At 54.2% G+C, this 17,940-nt stretch overlaps 4 protein-coding genes across 27 annotated transcripts in view, besides 8 other annotated features; 1 reads left to right on the top strand and 3 right to left on the bottom strand.

The window, feature by feature from the left end:
• PCNT (pericentrin) overlaps positions 1-4,097 on the bottom strand; it is a 121,614-nt gene extending 117,517 nt beyond the window's left edge. Inside the window, exons 1-2 of one of the 2 annotated variants that reach the window (NM_006031.6) lie at positions 3,971-4,097; positions 1,664-1,876 (exon numbers count right to left, since the gene is read on the bottom strand). In NM_006031.6, coding sequence (NP_006022.3) covers positions 1,664-1,876; positions 3,971-4,024 — 267 coding nt within the window. In that variant the 5' untranslated portion in view covers positions 4,025-4,097. Of the gene's footprint in view, positions 1-1,663; positions 1,877-3,042; positions 3,587-3,970 lie in introns of those variants that run through there. The other variant, NM_001315529.2, reaches the window with a different exon arrangement.
• Positions 1,057-1,229: a silencer, noted in NCBI's record as "fragment chr21:47746938-47747110 (GRCh37/hg19 assembly coordinates)". NCBI's record gives its function as "represses an EF-1alpha promoter that drives an FKBP-Casp9 reporter gene in an ReSE screen in K562 erythroleukemia cells {active_cell/tissue: K562}" and the evidence as "EXISTENCE:reporter gene assay evidence [ECO:0000049][PMID:32094911]".
• LOC128092249 (uncharacterized) lies at positions 1,762-1,965 on the bottom strand. Its single transcript, NM_001414902.1, has one exon. It carries the CDS (start codon positions 1,963-1,965, stop codon positions 1,762-1,764), a length of 204 nt encoding a protein of 67 aa, NP_001401831.1.
• Positions 3,305-3,764: a silencer, noted in NCBI's record as "silent region_13420". NCBI's record gives its function as "represses an Ori minimal core promoter by ATAC-STARR-seq in GM12878 lymphoblastoid cells {active_cell/tissue: GM12878}" and the evidence as "EXISTENCE:reporter gene assay evidence [ECO:0000049][PMID:35858748]".
• Positions 4,035-4,364: a silencer, noted in NCBI's record as "silent region_13419". NCBI's record gives its function as "represses an Ori minimal core promoter by ATAC-STARR-seq in GM12878 lymphoblastoid cells {active_cell/tissue: GM12878}" and the evidence as "EXISTENCE:reporter gene assay evidence [ECO:0000049][PMID:35858748]".
• Positions 4,383-17,940, top strand: part of C21orf58 (chromosome 21 open reading frame 58) — a 23,441-nt gene continuing 9,883 nt past the window's right edge. For 5 of the 19 annotated variants that reach the window (XM_006724018.5, XM_011529619.4, XM_011529620.4 and 2 more), the window contains exons 1-6: positions 4,383-5,614; positions 10,033-10,241; positions 10,985-11,045; positions 12,706-12,779; positions 13,373-13,537; positions 16,686-16,797. In XM_006724018.5, coding sequence (XP_006724081.1) covers positions 5,515-5,614; positions 10,033-10,241; positions 10,985-11,045; positions 12,706-12,779; positions 13,373-13,537; positions 16,686-16,797 — 721 coding nt within the window. In that variant the 5' untranslated portion in view covers positions 4,383-5,514. 19 annotated transcript variants of the gene reach the window in all.
• Positions 4,715-4,854: an enhancer, noted in NCBI's record as "active region_18600". NCBI's record gives its function as "activates an Ori minimal core promoter by ATAC-STARR-seq in GM12878 lymphoblastoid cells {active_cell/tissue: GM12878}" and the evidence as "EXISTENCE:reporter gene assay evidence [ECO:0000049][PMID:35858748]".
• Positions 6,846-7,108: a silencer, noted in NCBI's record as "fragment chr21:47741059-47741321 (GRCh37/hg19 assembly coordinates)". NCBI's record gives its function as "represses an EF-1alpha promoter that drives an FKBP-Casp9 reporter gene in an ReSE screen in K562 erythroleukemia cells {active_cell/tissue: K562}" and the evidence as "EXISTENCE:reporter gene assay evidence [ECO:0000049][PMID:32094911]".
• Positions 8,714-9,548: an enhancer, noted in NCBI's record as "H3K4me1 hESC enhancer chr21:47738619-47739453 (GRCh37/hg19 assembly coordinates)". NCBI's record gives its function as "activates a minimal SCP1, AML or CMV promoter by ChIP-STARR-seq in primed H9 embryonic stem cells {active_cell/tissue: H9 hESC(primed)}" and the evidence as "EXISTENCE:reporter gene assay evidence [ECO:0000049][PMID:30033119]".
• Positions 9,549-10,383: an enhancer, noted in NCBI's record as "H3K27ac-H3K4me1 hESC enhancer chr21:47737784-47738618 (GRCh37/hg19 assembly coordinates)". NCBI's record gives its function as "activates a minimal SCP1, AML or CMV promoter by ChIP-STARR-seq in primed H9 embryonic stem cells {active_cell/tissue: H9 hESC(primed)}" and the evidence as "EXISTENCE:reporter gene assay evidence [ECO:0000049][PMID:30033119]".
• Positions 11,219-12,054: an enhancer, noted in NCBI's record as "H3K4me1 hESC enhancer chr21:47736113-47736948 (GRCh37/hg19 assembly coordinates)". NCBI's record gives its function as "activates a minimal SCP1, AML or CMV promoter by ChIP-STARR-seq in primed H9 embryonic stem cells {active_cell/tissue: H9 hESC(primed)}" and the evidence as "EXISTENCE:reporter gene assay evidence [ECO:0000049][PMID:30033119]".
• Positions 15,028-17,940, bottom strand: part of YBEY (ybeY metalloendoribonuclease) — a 26,884-nt gene continuing 23,971 nt past the window's right edge. For all 5 annotated transcript variants that reach the window (XM_047440898.1, XM_047440901.1, XM_011529633.3 and 2 more), the window contains one exon: positions 15,028-15,249. In XM_047440898.1, the coding sequence (XP_047296854.1) occupies positions 15,242-15,249 (8 nt within the window). In that variant the 3' untranslated portion in view covers positions 15,028-15,241. The remainder of the gene's footprint in view (positions 15,250-17,940) is intronic.

The raw sequence follows: 17,940 nt of genomic DNA, 5'->3' as shown, positions 1-17,940 counted from the left end.
CACCAACCCAACAACCAAAAACACTCAAGAGATAAAAAGCAAAATTCAGGATTTGTAGGTAGAATAACACAAATTTTAACTGTTGCCAACAACTCAATTTTTTAAGTAAAGCAGGATACATACATTATGACCTTGAGCCAGATTCTGCCTTTGGCCACCAGTTTTCCAGCAAATCCTAGCAAACATCAAAGCCTGCACCCATTCTGCTGCAGCAGCAGGGACACTCAACACCTAAGGCCCTCGTTCATAATTCATACAAAAGGCCCAAGGACAGCCCGCCTCCAGGCAGGTTTGTAGGCCCCCAAGGAGCCCGGAAGGCCAGCCCCTTCAGGACTCAGTGTGCACTCACCTGCCACACCTGCCCATGGGGGTGCCCCTGCAGCTCACAAGGCCTCAAGCAGCAGACCCAGTCTCCTCCAGCAACACACCATGTCTGCAACACCTTCACCCCTTCCCTCTTCATCTCACGTTTAGTAAAAAGGTAAAAGACAAATGTGACAAGCAGGTGCATTTACAACTATGTGAAGGAATATTATGTTTTAAATGTCCCAAGAAACACCCATCAAAGGGGCTGACACGACCACACACGAAGAACTCCCAGTCTTCCATTACAAAGCAAACAACTGACACTTGTCTTCAAGTAGTTAATCCAAAACTTCTCAAAATTACATAATAAAGATAAAACAGGGCCAGGCGCAGTGGCTCATGCCTATAATCCCAACACTTTAAGAGGCTGAGGAGGGAGGATCACTTGAGCCCAGGGGTTTGAGGCTGCAGTGACCTGTGATCACACCACTGCACTCCAGGCTGGGCAACACAGCAAAACACTGTCTGGAACAAACAAAAGAAAAAAAAAGAAAAAGAAAACCCAAATTTATTAAGAATAAAACCATAGGCCGGGCACGGTGGCTCATGCCTATAATCCCAGCACTTTGGGAGGCCGAGGCGGGCAGATCACGAGGTCAGGAGATTGAGACCATCCTGGCTAACACAGTGAAACCCCACCTCTATTAAAAATACAAAAACTAGCCGGGCGTGGTGGCGGGCGCCTGTAGTCCCAGCTACTTGGGAGGCTGAGGCAGGAGAATGGCATGAACCCGGGAGGCGGAGCTTGCAGTGAGCCGAGATCGCGCCACTGCACTCCAGCCTGGGAGACAGAGCGAGAATCCATCTCAAAAAAATAAAAAATAAAATAAAAAGAATAAAACCATAAAAATTTACTCACTGTTTTTTTTTTTTTGAGAGAGAGTCTCGCTCTGTCACCCAGTCTGGAGTGCATTGGCGTGATCTCGGCTCAATGCAACCTCTGCCTCACAAGTTGAAGCTATTCTCCTCCCTCAACCTCCCGAGTAGCTGGGATTACAGGTGTGCGCCAGATGTCCGGCTAATTTTTGTATTTTTAGTATAGACAGGGTTTCTCCATGTTGGCCAGGCTGGTCTGGAACTCCTGACCTCAGGTGATCCGCCTGCCTCGGCCTCCCAAAGTGCGGGGATTACAGGCGTAAGCCACTGCACCCGGCCCTCACTTTTTATAAACTAAAATAACACCCTCTTTCCTCACTTTTGAAAGGCAAAAACAGACCAAAGACCATCTTTAGTAAATCACACTAGAAATCACTAGAAGATAAGCGAAATGTTCAAATACAACATTGAGCAAATCTACCTGAGCTGCAAAGGCCCCTCCTGCCCCATCAGGGGTGTCGTCACATGATGTGCTTTTGCAAATGTCCCCTCCTCCACAGAGTGCGCTGTCCTCCTTGGTTACCGGACTCTCCTCCTGGACAGACGCATCGACAGCCGAGCCCTTCCTCTTCGCCGTCTTTTTCTCCGAATGCGAACTGTCACCTTTTGTTTTTCTCTGTCGGAAGTGAGCAAGCTGCGCAAAAATGTAGATAAGTAGTAAAGGCAAAGGTAAGTGAGAAAAAAATAACAGAACCACAAAGTCAACAGACTGGTGGGGACCATGAGGCCCGAGGGCTGACCCAGTCTACTCTGCCACACCTGGCCAACAGATGGCTCTCCACAAACACTGCCTTCATCAATATCTATATCCAAGGGGTCTAACAATGAGGACTGCTAATTATGCCTGGTAAAGAAAACCATACGGCTGATTGGCAGAATAGCTTTCCTAGCCCTTGGCAGTTTACAGAAAAATAAAACTTTAAAAAAAATTTGTATAAAAGATTGATAGCTTAATCAAGGCATATTTAAGTTTTAAAATGATATAAAAGCTAAATCTCTCCCTTCTTGCCCCAATTTTCCCCCAACTGAAGAAATATATAGCCCAGCCAAAACTTCCTAGCCATAGATTCTGAGACAAGATACAGAAATAGCAAAAAATTAATTAAGCCAGGTCAATCTCACATCTTCCTTTATGGAATCAGATGTTCTATTTTTCATGACACAGCTCACCAAAGCACCAGGGACATCCACAGAGCATCGCCCATCAGAAGGCACAGCCTAGCTCTGCTCAGTCCTCAAATCCGAGAGTTTGAGACTATGTGCGAGCCTCATCTCCCGCTAACGTCTTACTCAAGAGGTATGCGATCGATCCCACATCAGCCTTTCACGGGGAGACATCTGTTCCCTCAAAAGACAACTGTGGCCACAAAAACAAACGCATGGAACACACATTTGTGTAAATGATAACACAAGTACACAAGCTCATGGACCCAGAAAAATTACACAAGGCCATTTACACAAGAAAATGGTCTCTCAAGGAAATATTTCCTTCAAAGTCAACCTCATGTCGTTTATTTTCATGTCCTCCTCCACCACACCTATCCATGTCGGGATATAGCACAGACCTGGTCTGCGGCCTGCGTCGCCCTACAGGCGGCGTCTTGTCCCTCCCTCCCCCCTCCACCCTCCTGGGAGCTCTGCTCCTGTTCGCAGCTCCCTGCAGGCTCCGGGCTCCCCTTCCCCTCCTGCCCGCCTCAGCCCTTCCCCGGCCTAGCCCCGCGTCCCCTGTCCGCCGTGCCCGGGAGCCCCGCTCTTCCCCAGCACCCCAGCCAGAACATCCTGGGGGGGAGCGGCGCGCACCTCGCAGAGGCCGGCCTGCTCCCGCGGTTCCGCCTCGCGCTTTCGGGACTCCCTTTCTCCTGCCCCCGAGTCATGGGCTCTGCGCGCTTTATTCCCACGAAACCTAGGACAGTGGCCATCAAACCGAGCGCTTTTTCACGGAGAAACCCGGGGCGGGAGAAAGACGGGAGCGCGTCCCTTGAAGGCGCCCGGCGCCAGCGCCGCGTGGGTTCCCGGCAGCGTACGCCAGGCCCGGACGGGCAGGACGCGAGCCCAAGGGCGCGGGAAGAAGACGGCGGCCGGGAGCGCCGCGGGGGCCTTTCACACAGTAAGGACTGCAACGCCGCGAGAAACGCGCGGGGAAAGCATCTCCGACGGACGAGGCGAAGGCGCACCCTGGGGAGGCGCTGCAGGCCACCCGCGCCACGCCCCCGGCCCCGGCCGCGCAGGAAACTGGCCCTAGACCAAGCAGCCACCCGAATACCGGCCGCCCGCCCCAGGCCACCCGGTCCCGGAGGACGCGGGAGCCACTGGAAGATCCAGCCTGGGGTCCAGCGCCTGCCGCGCCCCACCCCCTCCGTGCAGCCACGCCACGCCCCTGTAGCCCCGCCCTGCAGCCACACCCCGCCCCGGCGTGCACCGCGCCCAGCCCGCGCCCCACCCCCCCCGACGCAGGCGCAGCCCCGCCCCGGCCCGCCCGAGAGGCGCCGCGCGTCCCGGCCGCTGATTGGCTGTGGCCGCGGCGGGGGCGGGACCTGGCGGAGAGCGGCGGATTCAAGATGGCGGCGGCCAGGAGGCGGCTTCCAGCGGAGCCGGCGGGAAAAAGCGAGACCTCCGCGGCGGCTTCCGCCGGACCGCGTCCTCTCCTGGCAGGGGGCGGTGGCGGGCACCGGAGCCGCCCTTAGGACTTCACGCCAGAGCAGCTAGAGAAGAAGCCCCTAATGTTTACCTTCGTCCTCCCGGCCTCCACCTTTCTGCGCCGCTGCTCTTGCTCAACTTCCATCTCCCTCAGACTCCGCGCGGGCCGCCCGGCGGTGACGGGGCTGACACAGAGCAGCCTTCGCTCTATTTACACTCCCTCCCCCGCGCTTGGGCTCGCCCTCCCCCCGCGACAACTGTCACGCAGCCGCGGCCCCGCCCCCGACACGCGCCGCCAATCAGGGGGCTGCGTTTCCGGTCTCGCGCACGCGCGCTCTGGGCGGTGCAGCCTGGGCGGAGCCCCGCCCTTTACGCTCGCCGGCCACAGATTGGTGCGCTCACGTACCCGCCTCCTACGGCAGGACCAGTAAGCGGAAAGCGGAGGCCTGGCGCCCGCTGTGATTGGCCGATTTTAAAATCCCCTGCCAGGCTGGCCGAGCGGCAAAAAGTTCGCGCTGCTGGTCCCGCGCGGGCGGCCCCTGGGCTTTGTGTCCACCAGGACAGCGGGCCGGGCTCCCTGCAGGCGCGGGCGGCGCCGAACGGTGCTCAGCAACCACCCGGACAGGGCCAGGCCGTTTTCTCCCGCTCAGGCATTAGTCGTTGGCTGTGGGCCGCCGCGGGAAGTTGAGGCCTACCACGGAGGAGGCTGCTGAGGTGGATCTCAGGGGATCCGCAAGGGCTCCCTCACCCTTGCCGGGACCCTGGGAACCCGAAACAAAATCCTACGCCACCAGCCCGCCGAATGCGCCCCCTCGGCCGGGGGTCCTGGGTCTTCAGAGAAGAACTCGGCCGAATGCGGTCAGAAAGCCCGCGAACCGCCTGGACCTGCAGGCCCCGCCGCTTGGAGCTCCCGCCTTTCCCGACCGAGCCCGTGTCTGCTCGTGTGTCTCACTGATGTCTTAGGTCTCAAAAAAAAAAGAAAAGAAAAGGTTTTTAGTAGACAGAAGAGAAATGGGGCCGTGGGTTCGTGGTCCCAGGGGGAAACTGACGTCGCATGAGGTCGTCGTCCCTCAGCTTGAGCTCAGCGGAACATAAGCTTGCAGAGGTGGAAACCACGGAAGGTTTGGGTGTCTTGGAGCTCTCTGGACACCGAAGCCCGGACACAGTCCCGGGGTCCGCACCGCCTGTGACCTGTGGCGGGACCGCCGGGGTGGGCGTTTTCTCAGCTGGCGCGCGCGTAGGTGGAACTTGGGAAACTAACTGGAGCGAAGTGGCAAAAAACCAAGACAGGGCCGGTGACCTCGCGCAGGCCGTCCTTAACTGTGGAGTATTCCTTCAGCTAACCCCTTTATTTCATGTGTCCAAGTCTGGTTTCTGGGTTTCTTTGTAGTCCTCCGGGCCTGTTCGTGCGCCTTCACTTGCAAAAGGTTCGTCGTGGAGGGCCGTGTGCTTGTTTGCAGCAGTAACGATGCCCTTCCCGAGCGTGCTGGAGTGGCTCCTCGCTGACGCAAGCTCACCTTGCAGCCTCCTCAGCAACTGCAACTTAAACGCGCCCTCAGGAAGCCCTGGAATCTCGCTCAGAATTTTTTTTCTTTTTTTGAGACAGTCTCGCTGCGACGCCCAGGCTATAGCGCAATGGCGCGATCTCGGCTCCCTGCAACCTCCCTCAGGAAGCCGTGGAAGCTCGACCGCCAGAAACTTCCTTCTCCTGACTCAGGCCACAGTCTTCTGTGTGGTGAGCGGGGTGTCCAGCGGTCTCCTGGTTCCCAGACTCGGAATTGGGTGGTTTGAGCAAACTCTGGGCAGTGGGCTCATTAGAGCAGGGGCCAGGCAGGCAACACAGCCAAGCGAGCAGGGGCTGCACCCACAGGATCACACTTTCCAGGAACAGAGACCCAGACCGCGCCTGAATCTCACAACTGTTACGTGTTACAATACATTTACAACTGTGGGACTGAGGGGATGTGCCCAGGTTTGCCTAGACTGTGTTCCTCAGAACCCCAGAGTCGTTTCTGTGGACATCCTAGAGAGGTTCTGCTAATGTTGGACTTGGGTCTTATTTCAGTTCTTTTTTCTTTTCTTTTTTATAGGCAGGGTCTCAGTCTGTCACACAGGCTAGAGTGCAGTGGTGAGACCACCGCTCATTGCAGCCTCAACTTCCCCGGGCTCAGGTGATTCTCCATGTCAGCCTCCTGAGCAGCTGGAATTACAGGCACACCACCATGCCCAGCTAATTTTTGTATTTTTAGTAGACACAGGGTCTCACTGTGTTGCCCAGGCTGGTCTTGAACTCCTGGGCTCAAGTGATCCACCTGCCTTGGCCTCTCAAAGTGCTGGAGTTACAGGCATGAGCAACCTCGCCCAGCCTCAATTCATTTTAAACTATTAAAAAGCTGTCAAGGCCAGGCAACCACTGCACTCCAACCTGGGTGACAGACTGAGACCCTAACTCAAAAAAAAAAAAAAAAAAAAGCTGCCCAGATAAATTTTGTAGATACTCACCCTCAAGGAGGGAAACGTAACTCCCCTCTCCTTAAGTGTAGACCACACATAGCCACTTCCTCCCAAAGAGTGCAATAAAGAAAAGGAGGGAAAGAGCCACTTTATTGTGGAGAAAACTGGCAGACTCCACCTCAGCCAAGTGACGCAGGTCAGCCTCACAGTTATAGTCGAGGTGACAGTGTGTGTCCCTGATGTGATGGGGTGACAGTGGCACTTCACCCCTAGATGCTTCCTTTCTGTAACCTGCAGTCCCAGTCTAACCAGGAGATAATAGACACATTTTAATTGAGGGACATTCTTCAAAATATCTGCCCAGTACTCTTCGAAACTGTCAAGGTCATCAAAAACGAGGAAAGTCTGAGAAGGAGCCTAAAGACACATAACTCAATGTAATGGGGTGTTCTGATGGATACCACATTAGGGACATGAGGCAAACCTAAGGAAACTGTCAAAGTGTGGACTTCAGTTACTTGTGTCTCAATATTGGTTCATTAATCATAACAAATGGGCCAGGTGCACTGGCTTTCACTCAAAAATTAGCTGGGCATGATGGCACGTACCTGTAGTCCCAGCTACTCGAGAGGCTGAGGCAGAAGAATCGCTTGAAACTGGGAAGCAGAGGTTGCAGTGAGCCAAGATTGCACCATTGCACTCTAGCCTGGGCGTCGCAGCGAGACTCTGTCTCAAAAAAAATATATATATATATAACATATGTAGCACACTAAGGTAAGATGTTAATAAGAGGGGAAGCCACACATGTGGTATGTGGGATCTCCATGTACTATCTTCTCAATTACTCTAAATCTAAAACTGTTCTTAAAAACCCTATTTAAAAAAAAAGTCTGACAAATCCATGCCCTCTGGAGCATGTTATGTATACTACTAGAGATCCCGAGGAGGCAATTCTTAGTGCTTCCCATTCACTTGGCAGTCACAGCTGTGGGCACACAGGCTCAAGTCTCTCCTTAAGTCAGTCAGTATTACAAACCATACATAATAGTATACTTGACCACTGCATAAATGTTATAAACATTCCACATCAAGAGAAAGAGGAGAGGAAAAAAAGTTAACCAGTTCAACGAAAAGGAGAATCTGGCAAGGAAGCATCTCTGATGTGGGCAGAGCCTGCAGCAGCAGATGTGGAGGGCTTCTCACAAGTGACAGCAAGACTGTCTGTAAAACGGCCACTTTGACCTGGTGGTGTTCTGCTCTTTTCATGGCCATAGAGTACTCTGGTAAGGACTGATAGTAAGAGTGTCTTGTTTATGTCTTTATCTGGGTGGGTGCAGTATCTACTGATGAGGAAACATCTGGTCCCTGTTGGCCTGATACCCTTTTTTTTTTTTTTTTTTTTTTTTTGAGGTGGAGTTACACTCTTGTTGCCCAGGATGGAGTGCAGTAGTGGTGCCACCTTGGCTCACTGCAACTTCCGCCTGCCTGGCCCTATCTTATAATTTAAAAGGCATCAGGGGCCAGGTGCTATGGCTCACACCTCTAATCCTAGCACTTTGGGAGGCCAAGACGGCAGATCACTTGAGGTCAGGAGTTCGAGACCAGTCTGGCCAACATGGTGAAACCCCATCTCTACCAAAAATACAAAGATTAACTGGGCGTGGTGGCGTGCACCTGTACTCCCAGCTACTCGGGAGGCTGAGGCAGGAGAATCACTTGAACCCGGGAGGCGGAGGTTGCAGTGAGCTGAGATGGCTCCACCTCTGCACTCCAGCCTGGGCAACGAGCAAAACTCCATCTCAAAAAAAAATACATAAGATGGAGTCCTTTTCTCAGATGAGGTCACTTATATCAAGGGTGCTCTATACAGTTGCTTAACTAAATTAACCTGGTTTTTGTTCTGTGCACACTCAGAGCTGTTTAAATGTCTCCCAAGACTGTCACTGTTAATGACTGTGGACAAGAGCCAGGTTCTTTTATTATCTTGTTTATTTATTTTTTTATTTTTTTTATTTTTTTTCCAGACGGAGGTTTTGCTCTTGTTGCCCAGGCTGGAGTGCTGTGGCGCAATCTTGGGTCACTGCAAACTCTGCCTTCCGATTTCAAGCAATTCTCCTGCCTCAGCCTCCCGAGTAGCTGGGATTACAGGCGCCTACCACGACGCCTGGCTAATTTTTTGTATTTTTAGTAGAGACGGGGTTTCACCATGTTGGCCAGGTTGTCTCGACCTCCTGACCTCGTGATCTGCCTGCCTCAGCCTCCCTAAGTGCTGGGATTACAGGCATGAGCCACCGCACCTGGCCCTTTTTTATTATTTTTTATAGAGATGGGGTCTTGTTGTGTTGTGCCGGCTGGTCTCCAACTCGTGGACTCAAGTGATCCTTCTGCCTTGGCCTCCCAAAGCACTGAGATTACAGGCGTGAGCCAACGCCCAATGGCACTGGGATCTTAAACATGGGGCCAGAGTCTGCTCATGTCCAGCAGCACCAGCGAGGACCCCTGACTGCCATCTGGGAATGTGTGGCACCAGGCAGGTCATGTGACCCTAGCCCACACCCTCCACAGATCTGGAGGGAGGGTAAGGCCTGGTTTCATGCTGACTTCATTTCTGGTTGGATGGCCTCCAGGGTAAGGTGAGTTGAACTCTACGTCAGGAGTAATCCAGCCCCTCCAGGGCCAGCAGGAGTAAGGTGCGCCCCTCCAAGGATCTCCATGAGCTGCCTCTGTGAGCCTGACCTCCTACGGGCTAGCCAGCCTTCACCCAATCACTCACTGGTCCAGCTTCAGGGTCCCTACATGGATGTGGGTTGGAAGACAGGACAGGCACACAACCATAGATACTGATGGACATGGGCCATTTACAGAACTGAGGGCAAGAGAGCAATTTTGGCCACTGAGGCAAGTTCCTGGGTTAGCTGCACCGAGGAGGGTGCTGACCTCTGCCCCTCGGGTCCACAGGTCTGGGCCCCTGCTGCTGACATCCCCCACATGTCAGTCTGCCTGCTAGTGGGATTGACTAACTCATCAACGTGGAGTTTAATGCCCAACCAAGTGCAGACCACGCTCCTGTTTTGCGTCACCCTCTGCGAAGCTTCCTGCAAACTTGACTCCCTGCCCAGTGCCCCCAGCCCCAAGGTGGGACATATCCCCTGGGCACCCCCTCTGGTCCTGCTAAAGCCCAGCCCCTCTGCAGGTCACAACCCCTCCTCTGTCCTACCCCTTCTGCTGCCTGCAATTTCCTGAACTCCTTGGTAGGCAGTCTCCTCACCCTGTCCTCCCAGTGTCTCCCCACCCTGTCTTCCCTGCTTGCTCTGAGGGTCCCTAGGAGGGAGGTATTAACACCCTGGAGGCAGTACACAGGTGGGGCGCCCTCCCCTGACACACAGGTTCTTCTGGACTGGGTCCTGAGGCTGGTGGTGCATAGGGGGTCACGACTGCCCTTCCCCCAGGTCTGAGGGTTCTGCCCCTCTGCCTCAGCTGCTGCCCACTTTTTTGCCTTCCCATGAAGCCCAGCTGGCCACACCTGGGGATGAGTGTTTACCGGTAGCCTGAGGACGCACAGTGGAAACCTGGCAACCTGGGGCCTCCCTGTGTCTGGCAGCCTGGCAACTGTCACGCGGCGCCCAGCGCTGGCTTCTGGGGCACTGCAGTCCAGGGAGGGTGTGGCTATCTTCCCACAGGGCTCTTCTCTTCCCTCAGGCTGGTCTCCAGGAGGTAAGGCCCGCCCTGCAGGCAACACCGGTGCTTGGGCTCCTGCTGAGCAGTTCTTTCCTGCGAGTAACAGAACCAGGGAGGGAGGTGGGCTGTGGCCTCCCCTGCCCCTACAGTCGTCTCCTGCAGCTCCCACCATGCTGGACTCATCAGCAGCAGAGCAAGTGACCCGACTGACGCTGAAGCTCTTGGGACAGGTGAGGCAGAGCCCGGGATGCTCCTGTTTTTAACAACTCGCAGGCTGTGGCGTTGGAGGGACTCTTCGAGACAGCCCTGCAGGTGCAGAATGCAGGGCCCCAAGGGCTAGGCCTGGGGCTGGCAGCCCAGCGGACCCATCCTCAGACTTAGTCTTCACATTCTCTGAGGGTCTGGGTGGCCCATGACCGACCTGCCTGTCCTCGCAGGCCACTGAGCACAGGGTCTGGGGAGCCTCGGTGCCTGGGGGCACCTCTGCACCCCCTGCCTGCATTGTTCCCTCTCCTGCTGCCTGAGGGACCTGCTGCCCACCTTTCGCCAGCCCTGCATCCTGGCCCACAGGCCGCCATGAGAGGGACTCACCCCTGGACACACCCAGCAGGTAGCTGCTCAGCTCAGGGTTCAGGTGGGGGGTGATCTAGGCATGCACTGGCTGGGAAGCCTGGAGGCCTCACCAGTGAGGTGTCTCCCAGGGTTGCTCTTCAGAAATCTGCCTGAAGGGACCACTCAGAGCATCCGCCCCTAGACTTGTGGATGGAACACATGAATTTGCTAGAGGTCAGGCTTACAGAGGCAGCTCAGGGAGATCCTCGGAGGGGCTTGACTCCCGCCTGTTGGCCCTGGAGAGGCTGGGTTACTCCTGACGTACCATTCTTTTCACTCAGAAAGCCTCTTAGTCATTCCTGGAGCACACAGGGCCTTTGCGTGGAGCCACCGTCTCTGTCACGGTCTCTCTTCCTCACAGAAGCTGGAGCAAGAACGGCAGAACGTGGAAGGGGGACCTGAGGGCCTCCACCTCGAGCCAGGTGAGAGCCCCTGGGCTGCTTGGAACCAGCACAGACAGACGCAAGTGTAGCCACTCCAGGGGGAGCCACCTCCAGGGGGAGGTGGGGACAGCAACTCTGGGAATCACCCCCACTCCTGGTACCGGCGAGATTGTCCTCAACGCTTTTCCTTTACATTCAGAGTTGAAGACACCCCCATTCCTTATCACCTTTAGTCTGCAAACCCCAAAAAGGGGCACCTTCATTGTTCCCATTTTGCAGATGAGAAAATGGAGGCAGAGAGGTTGCTCACCCTGGCAGTGGTCGCACCCAGATCAGACCCAGTTGCTCTGGTTCCAGACCCTGAGCTTGTCCATTGGTTGGGGAGGAGCTGCTGTCCTCACTGTTACCCGGGGACGTCCAGGGAGAAGCTGAGGAGGCCAGAGGAGCATTTCTTGTTCTTTGGAACGTGGGGCAAGCTGTGAGCTGTGGGGGCTCAGCTGCCAAGGGCAGAGCCCAGTCTCAAATACAGAGAGAAAATCCCAAACCAGGTCCCCTGACTGCAGAGCCAGTGCGAGGGAATAGAATGGCTACCAGTGCCTGGGGCAGAGGGTTTGGGGACCCCCCCAAGGGCTGGCTAGGGTTCCCAACGGCCCCTCTCCAGTGTGATGCTGGGTGAGGGGCAGGACCCCTGTGCCTAAGGGAAAGGAGGCCAGAACCCTGCCCCCCACCTTCCGGAGCCTTCTCTTGAGTGTAGACCCTCCCCCAAGGAATGTAGACTTTTTCTTTTTTTTGAGATGGAGTCTCACTCTATTGCCCAGGCTGGAGTGCAGTGGTGCAATCTCAGATCACTGCAACCTCCGCCTCTGAGGTTCAAACAATTCTTGTGCCTCAGCCTCCCGAGTAGCTGAGATTACAGGTGCGCTCCACCATGCCTGGCCAACTTTTGTATTTTTAGTAGAGAAGGGGTTTTGCCATGTTCGCCAGGCTCGTCTCAAACTCCCGGCCTGAAGTAATCCACCCACCTCGGCCTCCTAAAGTGCTGAGATTATAGGTGTGACTCACTGCACCTGGCCAGATTTTTTTTTTTTATTCCTGAGACAGGGTTGGTCTCGCTCTGTTGCCCAGGATGGAGTGCAGTGGCCTGATCACAATTCACTGCACCCCCGACCTCCTGGGATCAAGCAATCCTCCCAGTGCAACCTCCCACTGTTGAGATGACAGGCATGAGCCACCACGCCCGGACTAGGGGGCAGACTTGAGGGATGTGCAGATACTTGGGGATCAGACCAGACTCTAGACCACTTGGGGCCAGAGGGTGGCTCCAGGTGGCCAAGGTCAGGCTGCAGCCAGCCCTGTAGAGCCCTTGACCTCCTGGAGCCCAGGGCACTCTGTATGAAATGCACTCAGGAGGAACCTGGTCGCGTCATTTCAGCCTCCCTTCCAGGAATGAGATGACCATCCTCCAGCACTGAGTTCCCTGGATTACCCCTCCCCTGATGCTGCCCCTTGCCCTCCTTACCCAACACTGGTCCCTCTTTATCTGGGATAACCTAAGACCAGGATCCTCCCAGGCCTCCCCCATCCTGGGAGTGTGGGTGAGGCAGGGCCTTCCGACATGGGTGCAGTACCATCCAGTCCGAGTGCTTGCAGCGACAGCCTCTACGCGTTCCTTGGTAAGCAAGCAGGTTCTTCCCTCCAGGAAATGAGGACCGGCCGGACGATGCCCTGCAGACTGCTCTGAAGAGAAGGAGGGACCTTCTGCAGAGACTCCGGGTAGGCCCTGCACCCTCTGAGCGAACCTGGCTGAGCTCACTGTAGCAGAGATAGCTGCTCAGCCTTAAGGCACCAGGTCGGGGAGTATTAGGGAAGACCTTTCCAGACTCTCAGGGCCAGGCCCCAGCAAGGACACTGTTAGCTTAGAGACCTGCCTGGGTGCAGGTTTCCATCAGGACTGGAAATGTTGAGTAAGGGCCCAATTCCAGGAGGACCTGAAATTCTGGGATGCCTGGAGGTTTGCTCCCACGGCACTCACCAAAGATGCATCCGAGTGGCAGAGATGCAGGGGAGGTGGGGCCGCTTTTCTAGGGGGAGACCTAGAAAAAAGTAGGCCTGGAACTGGCTTGAAAGAGAGAACAGACCCTGGGGCTGGAAAAAGAAAACAACTGGAAACTAGCTGACACGCTTGGGTCAATTTCAGGAGGCCACCCTCATGCACATAACCCTGGAAGGGTCTTCCAGTCATGGCCATCCTGCCCGGAGAGGCGCCTGTACCTGGCCCAGGCTGGCCTGAGCCTGATGCTGGGGGTGCCTCTGTGGCGTTGGGGCTCCCCGTCCCCGTGTGCAGCAGCTCTGCATCGGCCTTGCAGGAACAACACCTCCTGGACGAGCTCTCTCGGGCCCAGGCCTGGAGCGGGCCAAGCAGAGGAGCCCTCGGGTCAGCCCTGCCCCCAGAGCTGCCCCCCACGGGCATCCTACCCACTGCCTCCCCATCCCCGCTGGCCCCAGACCCGCCAAGGATCATCCTGCCTACGGTAAGAGGGCGAAGTCGAGGAGCACATCTGAGAGTGGGAGGCGGGTGCGGAATTAAGATTTTACAGAAGGCAGGAGGCGCTGTGCCTGCAGCGAGGTTGCCTCGTCACCCCCATCCTCCCAAGGCCCACCCTTGAAGGGGGCCAGCTGCCTGCCTGGGCACTGCCTGGGCCTCCCCGGACTGCTTACCCCTCATCACAGAGGAAGGCTGGGGCCCAGCTCTGTCTCCCAAACCCCAGCCCTGGCCTTAAATGTTGCATTAGGGGCAGAAGTATCAGGAGAGCTCAGCGGGCGGCCCTGAATTTGGGGAAGTGTGTCAACTCCTCAGAACTTTATCACTGGCCGGGTGCGGTGGCTCACATCTCTACTCCCAGCACTTTGGGAGGCCGAGGCGGGCGGATCACCTGAGGTCAGGAGTTTGAGACCAGCCTGGGCAACTTGGTGAAATCCTGTCTCTACTAAAAATACAAAAATTAGCTGGGCGTGGTGGTGCATGCCTGTAGTCCCAGCTACTCAGGAGGCTGAGGCAGGAGAATCGCTTGAGCCCAGAAAGAGGAGATTACAAGACTCCATCTCAAAAAAAAAACTTTATCATGCCCAGGAGATGCTTAAGGCCCCAATGTCAAGGGCAGAATGTTAAAGGTAAATAGTGCTCCACTTCTGAGAGCTTCCTACAGCTGTTCAGCCTTCTGGGTGGCAGGCAGCAGAAAACAACTCTGACTTTCTGAAGCAAAAAATGGATCAGAGGGAAACCAGGCACCCAGAGGTGGGATGGAAGCTGGGGGCCCGGAGGTCAAGGCTTTGGTGGGATTCGTGTGACTGGGGTGCAGGGAAGGTGGAAGAGAAGAGGCTGAGGTGGGAATTTCTAGACAGGGCAGCAGAGTCTATGACCTGGAAGGCTTTTGCCCTTTGGGAGGGGACCCTGGCAGCAGCACATGGTGGAGGGTACAGAGGGAAGGGGAGCCTCCGAAGGACCTGCCCCAGACCCTCCTCTGCAGATGGGTGGCCTTCACCAGGTTCTGGATATTCCCAGCCTGTGCCTTCCTGTCTTCCAGCACCAGAAACCTCCTCCCAGGACAGAAGGGAGTACGGGGGGTCATTGCTGTGGACCCCCCATCTTCCTCATCCCAAACACATCTATGCTTACTGTGTATCCATCAGGGCCAGTTATGCCTGCAGGTTTCACTCTCAGCCCCAGTGACACCAGGTGGGTGAGCAGGGGCTGTGGGTCACTAAGATGAGCTTCCTGGCAGCTGGACTCAGAGCCCCTGAGGTAGGAGGTCCCATCAGCCAGGACGGGCACGGCAGCTCTAAGAAAGCCTCATGGGTCTGTGCCAGGGGTGGGCAAACCACAGCTTCAGACCGGAGCTGGCCTGCCTCCTATTCTCACACAACCTGCAAGCCAAGAATGGTTTTACATTTTTACATGTTTGGGGAAAAGCCAATACAATAATAATATTTTGCAACATATGAAAATTATATGAAATGCTAATTTTAGTGTTCATAAATAAAGTTTTATTGGGCCAGGCCCATTTGTTTCCACATTGTCCGTAGCTGCTTTCATGCTGCAATGGCCAACTCAAGAGCTGACGGTGTGTCCTGCTTTGGAAGCTGTTTACGATGTAGCTCTTGGCAAAAGTTTGCCAACTCTTGGTCTCTGCCGTCCTTTCTGTGAACTGAGGAAGAAGGGACAAGGCCAGGCAGCCTCACACAGCTAGAAGAGGATAAAACAGAAGGCCTTTCATGCTCGAATATTTGGCTATAATTTATTTTCACTCAGAGGAGAAACCAAAGTTCATTTTCATGACGTGTTCTATATATGTACTACAGTATATGATGGAGGACAGTAATTAACCAAGTTGTTATGGGGGCTGGGATAGAGAGGTCACTGGGACAGAATTGAGAACGCCTGTTGGGATGCGGCCATCCTACCCACGGGTCTGCCCCAGATGCTCAACACCATCCGTCATTAGGGAAATGCAAATTAAAGCCACTGTGAGCCACCACTGCATCTCTATTAAAGTGGCTACAATTAAAAAGACTGACCAGGCCGGGCATGGTGGCTCATGCCTGTAATCCCAGCACTTTGGGAGGCCAAGGTGGCCAACCGCTACTGCATTTCCCCTGCCTGGACACTGTTGGTTGGTTGGATGGGTGGCTCTCCTGAGGTCAGGAGTTCGAGACCAGCCTGGCCAACGTGGTGAAACCCCGTCTATACTAAAAACACAAAAATTAGCCGGGCGTGGTGGCAGGCGCCTGTAATCCCAGCTACTCGGGAGGCTGAGGCATGAGAATCGCTAGAACCTGGGAGGCGGAGGTTGCAGTGAGCTGAGGTTGTACCATTGCACTCCAGCCTGGGCGACAAGAGCAAGACTTTGTCTCAAAAAAAAACAAAAACACCATACCAAGTGTTGGTTGCTCCTATTAAAGCAGAATTGGTGGAACCAGGCCTCAGCCCACCCCGCTAAAGACAGGAAATGTGGGAAACATTAAAAATACTACATCCTAAGTGATATCTAGACTGAAGTACCTTTCCATTCAACCATTTATTCAGTGTCTGGGGTTAATCATTTAAAGTTCTCCTTGGATGGATGAATGGATGTGTAGGTAGATGGTTGGCTGGTTGGATGGATGGGTGGGTGGATGGATGGGTGGGTGGTTGGTTGGTTGGTTGGTTGGGTAGGTGGATGGGTGGATGGGTGGATGGATGGGTGGGTGGATGGGTGGATGGGTGGATGGATGGGTGGGTGGGTGGGTGGATGGATGGGTGGGTGGATGGTTGGTTGGTTGGATGGATGGGTGGGTGGATGAATGGTTGGTTGGCTGGTTGGATGGTTGGCTGGTTGGATGGATGGGTAGGTGGATAGATGGGTGGGTGGTTGGTTGGATGGGTGGATGGGTGGGTGGATGAATGGTTGGTTGGCTGGTTGGATGGATGGGTGGGTGGATGGATGGGTGGATGGATGAGTGGGTGGATGGTTGGTTGGATGGATGGGTGGATGGTTGGTTGGTTGGTTGGTTGGTTGGATGGATGGGTGGATGGTTGGTTGGTTGGTTGGTTGGATGGGTGGGTGGATGGATGGGTGGTAGATACTGGAGACACTTTCTTCAAGGACATATGCAGATAGCTAATCACCTGGCTGTTCCTAGGTCCCCCAGCCTCCTGCCACCATCATTCAGCAGCTCCCTCAGCAGCCACTCATAGCACAGATTCCTCCTCCCCAGGCCTTCCCTACTCAACGGTCAGGAAGTATTAAGGAAGGTAAGTGTTCCATATTCATATTGTTGTGGGTTGAGGAAATTATCTACTGAAAGGGAAAATGTTCCTGGAAGCAGGACAGTCACTTAGGGCCAGCTTTTGGCTGTTCAACATGAAAATAATTTTAACTTTAAGAAATCCTTATATAAATGATATCTCACAGGGAAGGAAACAAGAGGTATAAGAAAGATAACTAGGAGGTAAAATAATTGGGCTCCAATTCCAACTCATCCAATCATCATCCATTCAAAAACCATTATTAAGATGCTTCTTTTAAAATAATTTTTAGGGCCCGGCTCGGTGGCTCACGCTTGTAATCCCAACACTGGGAGGCTGAGGCGGGTGGATTACCTGAGGTCAAGAGTTCGAGACCAGCCTGGCCCACAGGGTGAAACCCCATCTCTACTAAAAATACAAAAACCAGCTCACCATGGTGATGGATGCCTGTAATCCCAGCTACTTGGGAGGCTGAGGCAGGAGAAATTGCTTGAACCTGGGAGGCGGAGGTTGCAGTGTGAGCCAAGAATGCACAACTTTACTCCATCCTGGGCGACAGAGTGAGACTCTGTCTCAAAAATAATAATAATAATAATAGCTTTTAAATACTTGATTTTTAAAATTTATTTATTTATTTATTTAGAGAGAGAGAGAGAGAGTGTCTTACTTTGTTGCCCAGGCTGGAATACAATGGCATGATCTCAGCTCATTGCAACCTCTGCCTCCTGGGTTCAAGCGACTTCTCCTGCCTCAGCCTCCCAAGTGGCTGGAACTGTAGGCCTGCACCACCATGCTTTGCTAATTTTTGTATTTTCAGTAGAGGTGGGTTTTCGCCATTTTGGCCAGGCTGGTCTTGAACTCCCAACCTCAGGTGATCCGCCCACCTCAGCCTCTCAAAGTGCTGGGATTATAGGCGTTTGCCACTGTGCCCGGCCCAATTTGACAAGTTTTGTTTTTTTTTTTTATTTTTATTTTTTTTGTTCTGAGACAGTCTCGCTCTTGTTGCACAGATAGGAGTGCAATGGCGCCATCTTGGCTCACTGCAACCTCCACCTCCTGGGTTCAAGCAATTCTCCTGCCTCAGCCTCTCGAGTAGCTGGGATTACTGGTGCCCACCACCATGCCCAGCTATTTTGTTGTATTTTTGGT

The sequence above is a fragment of the Homo sapiens genome, chromosome 21, assembly GCF_000001405.40.
Source record: "Homo sapiens chromosome 21, GRCh38.p14 Primary Assembly".
Classification (NCBI taxonomy): Eukaryota; Metazoa; Chordata; class Mammalia; order Primates; family Hominidae; genus Homo; species Homo sapiens.
Note: the sequence above shows the minus strand (reverse complement) of the source record. Positions and strands in the feature narration are given on the sequence as shown.